A 17,590-nucleotide genomic window follows, 5' to 3' on the forward strand; every position below is an offset into this window, starting at 1 on the left:
CTCAGGCTTCCCAAAACTTTTCAATTAGGCCTTGATTTTCGGACTTTCATGTTCTTCTCTGCATTGACCTGTTTAGCAAGAATTCTGCTAAGTTGGTTTTTGAATGTGTCGTCCTTTATATCTCATCACCTTTGATATCTAATCTGGCTTCTCATCCTCCATCACACCACCCCCCAACCCAGGGATGTCTGATCACCTGGCCTGACTTCAGCAGGAATCCTGGTAGGCCAGTTTAGCTAGAATTTCCTCATATCTCAGATGTTCCATCAATGACCCCTACCCTTCTCCTTGGGTAGAAATTCCCACTTGCCCATGGTATATTCAAAGTTGAGCCTGATCTCTCTACCCTACTGCAAGACATCACTGCAGTAGTCCTTGTACCTACAAGGATAGTAGCCCCTTGAATAAAGTCGTTCTTACTGTCTTTTGTAAGCATCACAAATACACAAATATATTTTTCCTTAACACTAGCCCAACTCCCCACCCACTTGAAGGCTTTCTTTTTTATTTTATTTTCAGTTATCTGGGATGGATATATATATATATATATATATATATATATATCCTAGCTGATGGTCCAACAATTATAAAATTACATACAAATTTAAATGGAACATGCAAGGGGACTTCTGTTTATAACACAAGGGGGTGTCCCAGTTGGAGAGAAGCTACCATCTCAACATGTAAATTAATATTGGCTTAAGGGTGGCTTAAGAAGTGGAAAAGTCTTGACTGAATGTACTGTCAAGGGTGCATTCTATTTGGTTCTTTTTCTTCACAAGCCGTTGATAATTCTAGGCTTGTCATAATATACCATCAGGTGGAATTACTGTTTGCTTTTTGTTTTTGTTTTTCAAAGGAGGAGGTTCAAAAGAACACCTGCTCTTCCCAACAAATATCCTAAATATCCAGTGACGGCCTGAAGATTATAAAAGATGTTGACCTATTTAGAAAGCTCTTGAAAGTCCCAGTATTAAAATTATGCCCCTGTGGAACTTCAAAGGCTTGGCTGATGAAGACAAATTTGAAATGTCAGTTCAAGATCAAGTTAGATCATTTAATTATGCTGACCCATTATTTTCAGTCAAGATGGAGAGTCATTCTTTTATTTTCTTTTTCAGACTGCTGTCTTATCAAGGGTAATGGATGATGTATTTTACACATCATCTTTTAAACTAAGCATAGGGATTTTTCTTTCTGATTTAATTTTTCTTATCTTTGAAACACATATAATCTCAGATTACAAGATTAGGAAAATAAATTACACACATGCTGATGTTTTACTTTTCTACTTTTCTTTAAACGCTATGTTTAATTTCCCATTTTTGTTTACATAGATGGCAATTAATTATAGCATTTTGAAATACACATGAGGGAAACTATAATTTTAAAAAATTGTACTGTGGCTTGCATTCTCCTAATTCCTCTTCAATTCAACTGGCTCCAACAAACTTGTCTCTACTCTCTGCTCTAAATTATATATAATGGCCAGCTATATCATTTAGGAGCTGTTTAGCTTCCAGTCTAGAGCCAAAGTTGGCAGGCATTTTCTGTGAAGGGCCAGATAGTAACTATTTTGGGCTTTGTGGAGCATATTGTCTCTATGGCAACTACTCAACTTTGCCTTTATAGGGTGAAGGCATACATAAACAACATGTAAATGAATTGGTGATTCCATGTTCCAATCAAGCTTTATGTACAAAAACAGGCAGTTGGCCAGAGTTTACTTCTTAGACATACTTTTCTGCAAAGTGCCTATTGTGTTTCAGTTTTAAAATGTTAGAATGATGATAGCTCTGTGTGCTTTACTGTTGCACTCTACCACCTTTCTGGTATCATATGCCTGGGCAACTTGACTCTGGATGCTGAGCTTTCAAGCTCCATACGATAGCTCTGCTCAAACAAAAAATACACACCCCTTTCCCCACCAGCATTAAGCATACAGTCATGCATTGCTTAATGACAGGGTATGTCCTGAGAAATAGGCAATTTTGTTATTGTATGAGCATCATAGAGTGTACTTACACAAACCTAGATGGTATAGCCTACTACATATCTAAGCTATATGGTATAGCTTATTGCTCTAAGCTACAAACCTGTGTGGCATGTTACTCTACTGAATACTGTAGGCAATTGTAACACAATAATACACATTTTTGTATGTAAACATATCTACACATAGAAAAGGTACACTAAAAATACAGCATAAAAAATAAAAAGTGGTGCACCTGTAGAGAACACTTACAGGAATGGAGCTTTTAGGGCTGGGAGTTGCCCTGTACGAGTCAGGGAGTGAGTGGCGAGTGAATGTGAAGGCCTAGAACATTCACTTTATAAAGTAGACTTTATAAATACTGTACATGTAGGCTACACTAAATGTATTTTAAAATATTTTTCCTTCAATAACAAATTAACCTTCACTTACTGTAACTTTTTAATGTTATAAACTTTAAAATTTTCAAATAGTTTTTAACTTTTCTGTAATAACTCTTAGCTTAGAACACACATTATACAATTGTACAAAAGTATTTTCTTTCTTTATACCCTTATTTTATAAGCTTTTTATGTTTTTTAAATTGTTATTTTTTTTACTATTGAAATTTTTAGCTAAAAACTAAGACACAAACACACATTAGCCTAGGTCTCACAGTGTCAGAATCATCAATATCACTGTCTTCCACCTCCACATCTCGTCCCACTGGAAGGTCTTCAAGGGCAGTAAGAGACATGGCACTGTCATCTCCTATAATGACAATGCCTTCTGGAATACCTCCTGAAGGACCTGCCTGAGGCTGTTTTACCGTTAACTTTTTTAAAAAAATAGGTAATAAGAGTGCACTCTAAAGCAACAATAAAGTATACTATAGTAAACTGGTAACATAGTCATTTATTAGCATTATAAAGTATTATGTACTGTACATAATTGTATGTGCTAGACTTTTATATGACTGACAGTATAATATGTTTGTTTATACTAGCATCACCACAAACGTGAGTAATACCTTGCATCACAACGTTAGGATGGCTACCACATCACTAGGTAACAGAAATTTTTCTGTTCCATTATAATCTTATGGGACCACCGTCATACATGTGGTCCATCAATGACTAAAATGTCATTATGGAGCACATGACTGTACTAGTTTGCAACATTTGCAATTGCAATTTCACGTATATGTTTAAGGCTTAGAGAAGACATGCTTCTAATGATAGCAATGAATCAGAAAAGTGATTAAGTCGCTGAAATGAAACCCAGCTCTTAGACGTAGTTTTAAATCATTCATGCTTTAGAGATTAAAATTGGAAAACAAAACTATGAATCTTTTATTTCCTAACGACAAGAGCAGCTAATCACTTTTCCAATGGCCTTTCCCTTCACTTCTTCCAGTCTGCCATCTTTCCAAACCAAAAAGAAGGACCAACACTTAGAACCCTTAGAGGGTAGGGTGTTCCACAGCCTCATAGCAAGCAATCAGGAGGGCTTGGAGGACACTGCTTTGGCTCTGCTTGGCCCTTCCACAGGAAAACAGTCTAACGGCACAGGGGGCAGGTCTCAGGTCTGTGGTTAACAGCTCTTAACTGACCATCCGGGGCTTGGTTTCTACCTGGCTACTCAGAAGTTTAGAGAACTCCTCTCTGGTGAGTTCTAGTCTGAATTCCCTGCCCAGTTAGGTCTTCATTCTTCCACATTCAAATCACTCTCCTTCTGGACTTGGTCCTGAATACACATCTAAGTCATCTGTACCCTTGACTAAGCCCCTGCCAGGCCTCCTTAACACCCACGTGCATCATTCAGACTCCTTCCCTTGTTCATTTCTTCAGTTTTGCCTGATCCCTTGTTCTGGTTATTCTCCGCTTGCATCCTATATTCATTCTCTACCCTTCTGTGTCTTGCTCTGTGTCCCAGGAAGCTGCCCCTATGGAATGCACCTCCCTCCCTGACCCCAGCTCCCATGTATTCTGACTTCCAGTTAAATTCAGCAAATGGGAGTCACCAGCAGATCAGTAGACAGGGAAAGAAAGAGTTGGAGGTAGTTTTGCATTTCCGTGTGACTTCTGCTTCCTCCCGGTAGATATCCAAGCTCTTACTAGGCCTAGTGACACTATTTATTCTCCTTCCTCCTTTGGCCCTACAGGCAGTTATACCTTTCCACTGTTGCCAGTCTCTGAATGCACTGACACTCTACTCTGGTTTGCTGTCTTAACCCTGCCTGCATTTCAGTGTGTGATCTCTTCATTAAAGCCTCTTTGCTTAGACCTGAAGGGTTTCGTTCCCTGCTGGAATCCTGACTAATAGATGTCCTGACCTTTCACCTTTGTGGTTTCCTCAGACCCACTGCATAGTGTATACTCCTCATTGGATGTCCTTCCCCAGGGCACCACTAGAAGTCACCTTCAGCATCACATTCCTGTCCTGTGCAGGCTTCCTTCTTCCTCAATTTACACTATTTAGTGAGCTAGCTTCTGGGGATTTAACTCAGAGCTTTTAACCTGAGATATGTGGATCTATAAATTATGTGGGTAGATTTGGGGAGTAGAAGGGGACAGTGCATACACTGACATTGTATAGTATGTATGTACATTTTTCGAGGGAGAGGACCCATAGCTTTCATCACCTTCTCAAAGGACCTATGACTTAAAGGCTAGGGATTAATTATAACTAAAGATATAAAGGAACATATGCAAGTTGAGACCAGCCTTTCCCCCCAGATTTACCAATCAGATGTCACTTTACCTCCTCAACGGTGAGTAGAGGGGTAGAGAGAGGCAGAATTCCCACTAAAAAATGGTATATTTTTTTAATCTTTCTTGTCCTAAATTACATAAGATTTTAAGTCACATCCCTTAATATCTTTCATGTGACACTTGGGAAGCATGAGCACAGGGCTGCTGGCCATGCCTATGCCTCTGGGTCAGGCTTCCGCCATCATATCTCATGGTATCTCTAGGCCAGCTCTATTCATAGCCATTTACCACCCAACATCATGAGCAACTTGTAGAGGAATAAGAAAGTGGAGTGAAAAACTCCATTACATTTATAAACAGAATTGATTCATGCTAAGTGAGGGTGTCAGGATAGTCTTGGCTTCAAATAACAGAATACTCTACTAAAACTGGTTTGAACATGTAGACTGTTTTGTTTACAGGACTTGAAGGCTAGATGCCCATAGTCAGCCAATCACTGACAAGAGAGAGGATTACTGTTCCACTAATCAGGCCTAGATGGAGATCAAGATGGAGTCAGCTTTCATGTGTCAATGAATTGAATATGGGAAAGTGGATACACCTACAAAAATGGGGCTTTCTTAGGAAGAAAGGAGATCGAAGGGTGGGCAACCAACAATGCCCAGTACAGTTGCCATGTTTAAAGTTGTTCCTCTTTTTATAACCACAGTTCTTGTACAAATAACATTTTAGTCTGACATGGAGATCTCTTGTTGATCATTTGAATTTCATAAATGGGGAACAGAGCACAGATGTTCAATAAACATGTTTTTAAATATGTGTTGAACAGAAACCAAATGGGCTGAACCATCATATGCATGGCCCAGAACCAGGGTTGGACAGAGACCCCTTTGGACTCTAATTCAAAATTAATTTAAAGGAACTACATGGAATATAACTAAAGGAAGAATTATCTTCCAGATGGCATGCTCATGGTGTTTCTTATTAACCATGGAAAAGACAAAAGGCTGATGACTAGTACATGACAGCAACAATCGTATTTCCCAGCACTGTCACAACAGCAGAAGCACCTATTTTTTATTGAGCACTTCATTTGTACTAGGTTCTGTGTTACACATTGAAATGCATTCTATTATTTAATTTAAGCATTGCAATAATTCTATGAGCTAGGTATTATTTCTCCAATTTATAGACAAGAAAATTAAAGCTTAGAGGTGGAAGCATGTTGCCCAAGATTACCTGTAAACACAAGCATGTCGCTTGGCAGCTTGTGCTCTTAACCATGGGCTGTCACAGTCCCCAAACTAAGAGTTGTGGACATAAACCAAGACCAGCTCAGGGACTCCTCTTCTTCTCCAATTGGTCCTCTACTGCAAAGTCAGAAATTCTAAAGGATTCCTTTTCCTAGGCAATATCTCTAGGTGACACACATTATATAAATTGCTAAGTGCTCAGAATTATTTGAGATATGATAGTCCAGAAAGTGCCCTTGTCAATTATTTTTGGATATTCACATCTGAAAAATGATGCAAAGGATTTGGTCTAGTCACACCTATAAGAGAAGTCCTGGAGCAAAACCTGCCCCAGAATTTCCCTGGTCATTTTCCAGCCAAGAAAACAACTTCCCATTTAACTATCAGAAGTCTGGGTTGTAAAATAAGGAAAATAGTATTCTCCCCAAGAACATGTTACAGGAAAATAAAAACTAAATGGTATTTCAGATCTGGAAGGAGAATTAGAGATCATGAAGTCAAAGGAAAATGAGTCTCAGACAAAGGAAATTCCTTGTCTCAAATGACATTCGTAGTGAATATAGGAGCTGGGACCAGCATCTTACTGTTAGACCAGTATTTCCTCTGTATGTTTTCAGAGTTACCAACACATCCTAGCAGTAAGCTACAGTGAGGGAGCCAGACAATTTAGTGTTTTTTCATGAAGGTTGCTTTCTTTGGGTTTCTAAGAAATTACTGTTAATTAATTTTTGTTGTTTTATTATAAGTTCAGTTGCTGGCAGGTAAACTAAAGCTACGGGGTCAAGAAACATAAATGTGAGAATCTCCTTCTTTTATTAGGTTAGTATTTTGGTTTTATTTATTTTTATTTTTTGAGACAGAGCCTCGCTCTGTTGCCCAGGCTGGTGTGCAGTGGCGCAATCTTGGCTCACTGCAACCTCCACCGCCCAGGTTCCAGTGATTCTCATGGCTCAGCCTCCTGAGTAGCGGGGATTACAGTCATGCACTACCACGCCTAGCTAATTTTTTGTATTTTTAGGGTTTCACTATGTTGGCCAGGCTGGTCTCAAACTCCTGGGCACAAGTGATCTGCCCACCTAGGCCTCCTAAAGTGTTGGGATTACAGGTGTGAGCCACCATGCCCAGACTATTTTTCATAAAGTAAAAATTAACAAGTCCTTAAGCAGGGGAAAATGTATCACTACTTTGTTCCCACATTTTTTCCTTATCTTTAAATAAGTAATCAATGAAGATGGTGATGTGTTACTTATCTGGTAAGACACAAACAAGGGAGATAGGTACCTAGGGACAGTAGCAAACATAACAGAGTCTTCAGGAAGAACTTTTTGACTGAGACTTTTGACGTATGAGAAGATGAATCAGTCTCTATCTCTGTCTCTCTCTTTCTCCACCACCCCTACTCCTATCTCCCACTCCCTTCCCCTTAGAACCAACCCCAGGGCAGTCTTGGATGTTTTAGGGGAAGTCTTGACAGGAATAATCTATCCCCTAATGTTCTAGCCAACAGATGTCATCACAACATCCCTAAGATTCTACTTCTACCATGTCAACCCAGCACTTTGAGGCTGCCTGAATTATAGAATTTAATGTAAATTGTAATTACTTAATTGCTTGTTTCCCCTTGAAGGCTTTACAGTCCCACTCCGTGAGGGTAGGGACAATGTCTTACTTATCTTGATTTCTCCATGGTATAGCACAGTGCTTAGTCCACAGAACACATCTACTAAATTATTGGTTATGTGAATACTCCAAAATCTTCTGCAGTTCACCCAGTACCTATTATATCAAAACTCCTTTTATTTTTCACATGCAATACCTCCTACCAGAATACTTTCTCCTGGCTTTTCATGCTAAACAAATCCTTCAATCTTCCTAGAATCCATCTCAGGCCTCCCTAATTGCTCCTTTCTCTGAATTTCTATGATGCACAATCATCTTTTATTTTACACTATTATTTTAACATTTCATACATGTTGCTCCAGCTCTCAAACAGAAAATCATTTTTTATATTTCCTTAGAATTCTCTTCCACAGAACGTAGTATAATTATATTGCCATTGTGATGCTTGATGCTTGATATTTTTTGCACAAATGAATGGTTAAAATATGAGGCTGATGGCAACGCTTAACCATTTGTAGCCCTATGGATCTAAAATTTGATAAAAAGTGATTTCTAGATTCCACGGGTGTAATACTGTAAAGAGGCCTAAATTTGACAATGAAAATAAACAAAACCAATCTGAAAATTTCAGCCTATTTTAAACATAAATTCATCAAGCCTGCCTCTGTTTGCTCTACACAGTCCAGGATTTTCTTTATCAAACCATATTTGTAAGCATACAATTTGGAAGCCATAGAAATGCAATGCATGTTTTTCAAATAGCTCAGTTACAGAACGATAAAAGAAAACACCTTTGCTGGCAAAAGAAAAAAAAATCCACTTCTGTTAACTCACAGCTATTTATTTATTTATTTGTTTATGTATTTATTGTTTTTGAAATGGTGTCTTGCTCCGTCGCCCAAGCTGGAGTGCAGTGACATGATCTCGGCTCACTGCAACCTCTGCCTCCCGGGTTCAAGCAATTCTCCTACCTCAGTCTTCCCAGTAGCTGGCATTACAGCCAGCAGCCCAGTAGCCGGCATTACAGCCAGCAGCCCAGTAGCCACCAGCATGCCTAGCTAATTTCTGTATGTTTAGTAGAGACGGGGTTTCACCATGTTGGCCAGGCTGATCTTGAACTCCTCACCTCAAGTGATCTGCCTGCCTTGGCCTCCCAAAGTGCTGGGATTACAGGTGTGAACCACCATGCCTGGGCAACTCGCAGTGTGAAGTTCAATTCATGAGGTTCCATAAAGATTCCCAAATGGTTACTTGCAAAATAAAGCTAGTTGAGAAATATTCTCCCCACATTTATCACTTATGCTTGGCCTCCTCTTCAAATCCTACCCTCTTGCAGCATTTAGACTTCTCCTCCCAGACACAGATATGATCATGGTATTCCCCATGATCACATCTTTCCCCTGTTCAGAATTCTTCAATGGCAACTCTTACTTTAAACTAAAGTCCAAAAGATCAACAAGCTTTTAAAAACCTTCTTGAATGTGGCCCTAGTTTATCTTTCTGAAATTTTTCTCTGCCCCACATACTAACTGCATCAGCCAATTTGTCATTCCAGGAAAACAATCCTCCATATTTATGCTTCTATGTCAGGGATCAGCAAACTTTTGCCATAAAGAGCCAGGGAGTAAATATTTTAGGCTTTGTAGGCCATACCGTCTCTGTCGAACGATTCAACTTTGTCATGGTAGTGCAGAAGCAACCATGGACAATATATAAAAGAATGAGTGTGGCTCTGTTCCAATAAAACTTTATTTATAGAAACAGAAATCTGAATTTCATAGAATTTTCATATGTTATTAAATGTACTTCTTCTGATTTTTCCCAATCACTTAAAAATATAAAAACCAATCTTAGCTCCTAGACCATACACAATGGGCCACAGTTTGCCAATCTCTGTTCTATGACACTATACATGCTTCCTCTGATGTCTTTCTTTTCAACGCATCTCTGAGTTCCTTTCCATTCTTCAATGTCCAACTCAAACACCATTTTCCCTGGAATAGGTATCAATTCCTCTCAGAGGTGATTCCCTGCTCCTTCCTTTCTTGTTGGTTATATTCCAGACAAGGTACACAACGCAGTCAGCTCTGATTGTTATTATTTATGAGCTCTCCAGATCATGATTTGCTGTGATCCTGTGTCTAACTCAGCTCCACAAGAACATCACAGCCCTCCCCAACTTCTGCTATGTAATGCCTGGCACACAATCCTCAGTAAGTATTTATTTAATAATGAAAATCTATCCCTTGCCTCTTTGCAAAACCTAGAGTGTTGATAACAAAATCAAATTGAAGAACTAAAACCATAAAAGTTGGGGCGAGCTGACCACAACAACTGATGCCATCATTAAGAGTGGGCTCTGTGGCTCACGCCTGTAATCCCAGCACTTTGGGAGGCCAAGGTGAGTGGATCACGATGCCAGGAGTTCGAGACCAGCCTGGTCAATATGGTAAAACCCCGTCTCTACTAAAAATACAAAAATTAGTCAGGTGTGGTGGTGTGCACCTATAGTCCCAGCTACTCGGGAGGCTGAGGCAGAAGAATCGCTTGAACCTGGGAGGTGGAGGTTGCAGTGAGCCGAGGAGATCACGCCACTGTGGCTGCACACCAGCCTGGGTGACAGGACAGAGTGAGACTCCACCTCAAAAAAAACCAAACAAACAAACAAAAAAAAAAAACACGGTAGGCTCTGGGCCTCCACTCAGAGCAAAAAGGGAAAGAGGACAATGACCAGGTCTTATTTATCAGAAAGGAGGAAGTGGGCTACATCTGTAACAGAGGCAAAGTTTTGTTTCAGTTTTCACTTCCCCCCGCCCCGCACCCCCTCCCCCACAGCTGTATTAAGTTTTAAAAGCAGTTGCTCATGTGGAAGTGTAGATAGGGCATTTGGTGACAGATTAAACACTGCCCTCCATGGCTGTTTATACTGGCCAAAAAAGAGATGTAATTTTATAAGGCTTTATCTCAGAATAAGTTGGAAAATGTCAAAAGCAATTTCATGAGGAAAAAAAGGCACTTAAATGTTGCCTTCTGGAGCCCTAACTTGAAACAAAAACAGAACTTAGGATATACCCATGGTTATGCCGGGGTGGTGGAATGGACATTCTCTTCTGAAAGTGGGTGGGGGCAAAACACAGTCTCCCCCAGCTGGATGCTCAAGGTAACCTACTTCTAAAGTCGCTGGTATGCCCAAGGGGAAGCCTGGATGGGCTTCAAGCCCTGGTTCAAGAAAGTAATTCAGACCTTAGAGACCTCCTCCAAAGAGCCTAGCAGAAACTACTTTAACTTGGAAAACGGGTGTGGGCAGTGCCCCATCCTGGCAGCAGGGAAATTTCCATGGCACTTTCTTACGTGACTAAACGGAGTCACGTAATTCCCAGTGGAACTACCAGGGTCAGTCAGCTGTGAAACGTAGCCCCAAGTAAAAAACTAAAGAGACTTGGTGTACAGCGTTATTTATCATTAACCAATTGAAGAAGACCCTCGAAGCCAAGGGTGCAGCTGTCTTTTTCTGGCAGACACTGGCTAACAGAAGAGATTGCCTGTTGAGGTCACTCCCAATTTGCCCTATCAATACTATTTAGGTGGCATAAATGAGAACCTTACTTCCTGCTTGTTATGAAGCATTTGCATCTACTTTATTTAAAATTGTATCAGTCCTCTCTGGTACAAGTTATAAAGATGGAGGCTAAATTTTGACAAGTTCAGGAAGTCAGGGAGGAAAGAAAGGGAGGGGTACTAATTCAGAGCATGAAATTTGGAGTCAGAAAGACCTGAGTTCAAACCCACATGAAACACTTGTTAATTATATCACCTTGGGTTATGATATCCGCTCCATACCACAATTTTCTACATAATAGATACAATGCCAGTGACCTAATAAACTTGTTGTAGGATCTTGTAGGATTAAAAGGTCACTACAAATATAATGCATGAGCACCCCAAAAATGTCAGCTACTTCCATAATTACCTGTATCCACAAGCCCTGTCATAACAGCTGTACATAGTAGGCACTAACTAAATATTCGCTGATTGATTAGCTAATTTCTTGCAATTAAGCTGATGGCCATTCATTTGCTAATCGTGGTGCCAGTTCAGGGAGGCTGAGACTTGCCTCACAGATGCCATGGGTCTCATGATTTGTTGGTAAATAGTCAAGGCTTGTCATTTATAAATGGCTTCTTATGAGTGGATAAATACGAGAAAGAAAATAGAATGTGATGAAAGACAGCTTAGAAAACATTACTCAGTTTGAGTAATTTGAGTAAAATGTTACTCAACTTGAGCTAGAGACTGCTTAGCAAAGCTTATGAATACCTGGTCCAATGTCTAAATCACTCAAAAGATGGTAGGTGCTATTAGTCTCATCATTCTACTGTGTGAGCTTGAGATCTGGTCTTCTGGTATAGTGATCCTGTCCAGAGAGAAATTCAGGATTTACCAGAGTATTAATAGGCTGGATTTATGTAAATCCCATACATCTTGGGAAGTTTGAAGGTGATGATGGTCCAACAAATCCTGTATTCTTGGAATATTTATTTACAATATGTGAGACATTAAAAAGAGCTGCCATATTCAGTTGTGCAGGTTGTACACTGCACAAGCCTCAGGGGGGTTAGTCACATGGAGCAGGCTGCTCCTAGGGTTATGGAGTATGCAAACTGATGCTGCTGTAGCAGCCCGTTAAACAGATACTCTAGAGTATCTGTGACCTTCTTGCTTCTCATTAAAGACACTAAACCCAGAACAGAAGTTTCTTTAGAACAATGTTGGCATAAAGTTTGAGGAGATATTTGGCAAACTAATTGGCTTGTGATACTGATGGACTAGAGAGTTACTCTTTTTGGAAAACTGAATAGATTATACTTTTGGTCAATCTAGAGGGTTCTGAACCTAACATGCACATTGAATCAAATCACTTGAATAGGAACAGTGGCCTATTGTGCAAAATAGGACTCCCAGAGTACTGTAGCCAAATGAGGACACAAGAAGCTTTTTAAGTTTGATATGACTCATCAATCAAATTAGTTCTGGCTCTAGTTGAGGAGTGTCTATGGATCTATAAAATAGGAGGCAGGTGAGTAAGAATTATAAAACTGTGAGAATTAGGTCTCCTAGAGGGTGAAGGTAGTTTGCCAATTATGTGGGTACATCAAACCTGCTGGGCCCTGCAATGTAAGAAACAAAGAGCCTCTTTGCTGCTGGGGAGGAAAGGCTACTTCCAGGCAAGTCACTCTGTGGACATGAGATGCCAGTCTCTGAAAATGATTAACTGCTCTGGGTCTCTCCTGCATCACCCAGGAGAGAGAGGGTTTTGAAAGCACGGCTAAGGAACACAGCCACATCAGCTCAGTGGCAATGAACGTCAACAGTCCTAGGAATAGAACACAAAATTATATGCTCCAGATAAATGAATTGGGAAGGTTTTTAAAATATATTTTCTCTGTAACTCATTTTAGCCCGGGCAATTTCATGTAATCCAGTTACAATATGTTAGTGTTTCCTGATGAATATGCTTTTGATGGTTTTGCAATAGCTCTAAAAACCATTCTCATTTAAATGAAATGATGTTTGGGGGATTTGAACAATCATCTCATGATTTAAGCCTGATTCATTATTAAATAAAAATACTAAGCTCTCTTCTCTGTTCCTCGTTACCCGACTCTGCAGCCTTAATGACATCTCCTTCCTAGGTAGAGAATCCAACCTTTAGAGAAAGTGTGGTTAAGGGTGTGAATGTCGTTATTGATGGCATGCCTACTAAGTGTAAGCATCAGGAAATACTCCTTTCAGATCACTGTGTCGTTGGGATTTGCCCAGCTCACTGGGAAGGATGGCTCAATGCTTTCTCTTGCAGTTCAGCATGAAGCATCATTTCTGCAGCTAAAGGACAGAAGCTTTAGAAAAACCTTCCAAAAAGATGTCTCAAGAGGCATATATCAAGTTCAAATGTGTATACTCTGGTGGCTATCTAAAAATGGTGAGGTTTTTTGCAGCATCAAAAGCAAAAAACTTTTCCTGTTGGCTAGGTTAGCACAAATTTGCAGCCCCTTATCTGAAGTCTTTGGCATTAGATATGCTTTAGATCTCAGGGTTTTTCAGATTCTGTAAGGAATTACAGTGTGCCTGTTATAAAACACACCCCCCTCAGAAAGGTCTGGGGAAACCCCTATAACACAACACATTAACATTTCTGCAGCAAACTGTAGGAACAGTCACACCAAGGGATAAAGACTATAAATAGTCTCACCTCAGTTCAGGTCAGGCTTTGCTGCCAAATGAGTTTGTGCCAACCTTCAGTGAAAAAAAGTTCAGTTTCCAGAGATTTTTGGATTTCAGTAGTGCAGATAAGGGATTGATTACCTGCCAAATGTTTAAAGATGCTAGAGCAAAGTTTTAGATCAGTAGTTCTCAAAGTGTGTCCTCTGACAGGCAGCATCAGGAACACCAGGGAACAGGTGAGTAAAGCAAGTTCTAGGCCCCTACCCCAGATTTACTGATTCAGAAACTCTGGAGGCAGAGCCAGCAATTTGTCTGTGTTTAGCAAGCTCTGCAGGGGATTCTGAAACCCACAGCAGGTTAAGAACCACTCCTGGAGGAGTTCAAGCATAAACACTGGTCTAGGACTAAAGAAACCTGAGTCCTAGTTAACCAGCTATGACACATAATCTTTTATTATTTTGATTTCCAATCTGCAAAATGGGGATAATTCTACCTGCCCTTTTAGTTTGGTAGGATAATTATGTAGATGTAAAGAGATAACGCATGTAAAAAAGATTGATAGATAACTATAATGTGTATATACTATTTTAAAATAAGGATAAAATAAGGATAAAATAACACCATTGTTAAATGGAACAAAAGTTAATCAGCAGATCAGTGCTATGTGATACAGAAAGTAAACAAATTGAAAATGTAAAATGCTACATCTGTGCCTGGAAAAGCAATATAAGAAAAATAAACTTACAATGCCATCTAATTCAGGTTTCCTGTCTCTGGGAGACCCAGAGTCATATTTTCAATCAGATCACATTAAAACATGACAATGTGCAAAAGACTGACACATTCCGTGAAGTATATTTATAAGTGCATTTTCATATTCCCTCCCCCATCTCATTTCAGAAAAGATTTCAAACAATGCTGAAAGACAGATTACATGTTCTGCTGTTTGGACTTCTGTGCTATGAATGGCAAAGTAAACAATCCAGGGAGGCAGATAATACAATGGAAAGATCCCACCTCTGCCCCATGCAACCTTGGGCAAGTCACTTTATCCTCTCTGGGCATCAGCTTCCAGTTATAAGCACTGCTCCTGTGGCTCGGTTCTCTTATCCACTGCTTATTTTGCCAGTTTCTGAAATCAGATTCTATAAACTGAGGACACATGTGACAATATACAAATCTACTGAGAATGAACAGGAGATGAGCTATATCGCCTTTTACAAGCCCAGGTAGGGAAGAGAAATATAAGCTGAGTTGTGTTTCAGGGTATCAAGCCCTCACACAGTAATCCTACTAGGCGTTCTCGTTCCCCCAGACAAAGAGCTCTTTATTCACACTTAGCTTCTTATAGTGCTACTATTACTATTGGAAAAAATAAGTCTCTCAGGAAAGGCTCAGTCCATATAAGAATTCTCCTTTCTGCCTTGGCCACAGTCCAGTGCTTAACTTTTAGCTGAGGTCACGGCATCCTGTTCTACCTGCTCACCTCGGACCAGAGGTGACAGCATAGAGCTGTCCTACTCAAGCCCTTTTTTGGCATTTTAAAAAATCTTATCTGGTAAAGCCAGGTCTTCAAGGGCTTCTGGCTGGAAGAACTGGCCTACAAGGTAAACTGCTCTCCAGAGTCCATGGCTTATATTCACCCAGGCCTGTGGTTTCCAATATGTCGATAGATCAAAAGCCCTTAGAAGTGCCATCATTCTCAGAACACAAGGAGCTGCCTGGAAATAGAAAAACTAGCCCCTAAGCAACATAATGCACCCTTCCTTTTCATGATTTCCAATTCTGATATGCTAATGTGGAGCAGTAGAGTGAGATGGCTAAGGATAAGGGAGAGCTGGGCATTAGATTGTCTGGGGATTAGGATTCCCTCTTGTCTTCCAAGAGTTATTTACATTTTGGATAATTCACTTAACTTCTGTATGCTATGATTTGCACACCTATACAATGGGAATACTAATAGTTCTTTTCTCATAAGGTTATCGGGAATATTAAATTATATTCTTTGTTAGGTATCCAAAACACTACCTAGGTCAGTACCTTGTACGTAATAAGAGCTCTCAATTGAAATGTGCTGCTCATCTTCCAGCTACTCTGTAGGTAATGGAAACTACATACAGCTAAGTCCTAGAACCCTTAGAAAGCTATGCTGGGACAAAAATATTCCTCTTTGAATACTAGAAAAAAATCACAATTCCCAGGAAAATGAAAACAGTTTGTACTCCACTGAACTCAGGCAAATGTAACAGCACACAGGCAAACTGTACAAATTCAGCAAAACAAACTCCAGGTGAGTTAAAAAACAAGAAAGAACAACAACACCACATTGCATATTTAGGATGGTTCTAATAATAAAAGCGCTCCAATGCATAATTTAATTTAAATACTGCTATAGCCATCTTGTGTTTTTAACTATGTTTAAGAATAATAAGATTACACAGAAATTAGTCTAGCTCTAGAATATTAGATCAAGAAATATTTTAAATGTGGATGAAAAGAATACCCGCATATGGAATGGAAACAGAAAACCGGTTTGTTTGCTTATTACAATTGCTTCCTGGAAACATGTAGCCTGGGAAAAATAAACCTTTCTCTTTGAATGGTGTCCTTGAATTGCTCACCTACCGATAGTTACAGGCACAGAAATGGAAGACTCATTGCTCAGCATGATCTTCAAATAGTACAAAGAACCTATTATACACAATATTTGGTGCTAAGTGCTGTGTGGGCAAAGGACAGAACCATCCTAAAATCTTCCCTCAAGGCGTCTAGTAGGAGAGACAAATGAATTTCTATCAGGAACTTGAACATGAAGTACAAAGTAATAAAAGTGATAAGAGTAGAGATAAAACATCAGGAGAGTTCAAAGGAAGGAAAAGATTCGTGCAGCCTGGGTAGTGTGTGTGTGTGTGTGTGTGTGTGTGTGTGTGTGTGTGTACGTGTGTATGGTAGGAGAGGCAACCAGAGAAGGCTTAGTGGAGGAGGAGGCATTTGAAGTACGCCTTGAAGAATGAATAGAATTTGCATGAGTGGAATGAAAGAAGTGGAGGAGGAAGCGTATCTGGGAGTCAGGAACAGCTTAGGCGAAGACTCAGAGGTAGGTAATTTTTTGCTTCCTTTTTACCCAGACTTTATATCTGTGAAAACAAATAGTTCTTGTGATACCACTTTTCAAATCTTTCTTGTTGGGCAAGAAAGATATGAATATTAAAGGTTAGAAGCATAATTCTAGTCATCTGGATAGTCTCAGCTTCTCATGTGTTATTCTAAGTGCCCAAGGAATGTATATTAAAAATATATATGAATTAAAGGATGATTTTCTATAAGCTGCATTGTGCAATATGGCACTAGCTTTATTTAAATTTAAATTAATTAAAATAAAATACCATTTAAAAATTTAGTTTCTCAGTTACACTGGCCATATTGCTAGTGCTCAGTTGCCACATGTGGCTACTGGCCAATCTTACCGGATGGCAAAGATATAGAACATTTTAATTATCACAGAAAGTTCTGATGGGCAGTACTATTCTGGAAGGTAAGAATTATCTCAAATGCTAAGTATTATTGAATTCAATTTTCTTAACTGTCTCTGTATATGCTTCTTTTTTTTCTGCTGATCATTTTCTCACTGGGCCCTGCCTTCCCCTCCTCTGCCCTGTACCAGGGATTACTGACTCCTGCTGCTGCTTCCCCGCCTCTCTGGACAGTGGATACAATAGCAGGACAAAAGGAAAAACAGGGTTCATCTCTACATACTCCCCCACCCAGCCAGGAGGGATCCCGCGCAGTAGCTGCATCTCCTTTCTGTT

General features: G+C 39.7%; 1 protein-coding gene across 4 annotated transcripts in view, besides 1 other annotated feature; it reads right to left on the reverse strand.

Annotated features, from left to right (window-relative positions):
• The window catches only part of RCAN2 (regulator of calcineurin 2), a 271,235-nt gene that overhangs the window by 145,755 nt on the left and 107,890 nt on the right, over positions 1–17,590 (reverse strand). The gene's annotated exons all lie outside the window — the stretch shown is intronic.
• Positions 10,443–10,492: an enhancer, noted in NCBI's record as "active region_24651". NCBI's record gives its function as "activates an Ori minimal core promoter by ATAC-STARR-seq in GM12878 lymphoblastoid cells {active_cell/tissue: GM12878}" and the evidence as "EXISTENCE:reporter gene assay evidence [ECO:0000049][PMID:35858748]".

The sequence above is a fragment of the Homo sapiens genome, chromosome 6 (assembly GCF_000001405.40).
Source record: "Homo sapiens chromosome 6, GRCh38.p14 Primary Assembly".
NCBI classification, from domain to species: Eukaryota; Metazoa; Chordata; class Mammalia; order Primates; family Hominidae; genus Homo; species Homo sapiens.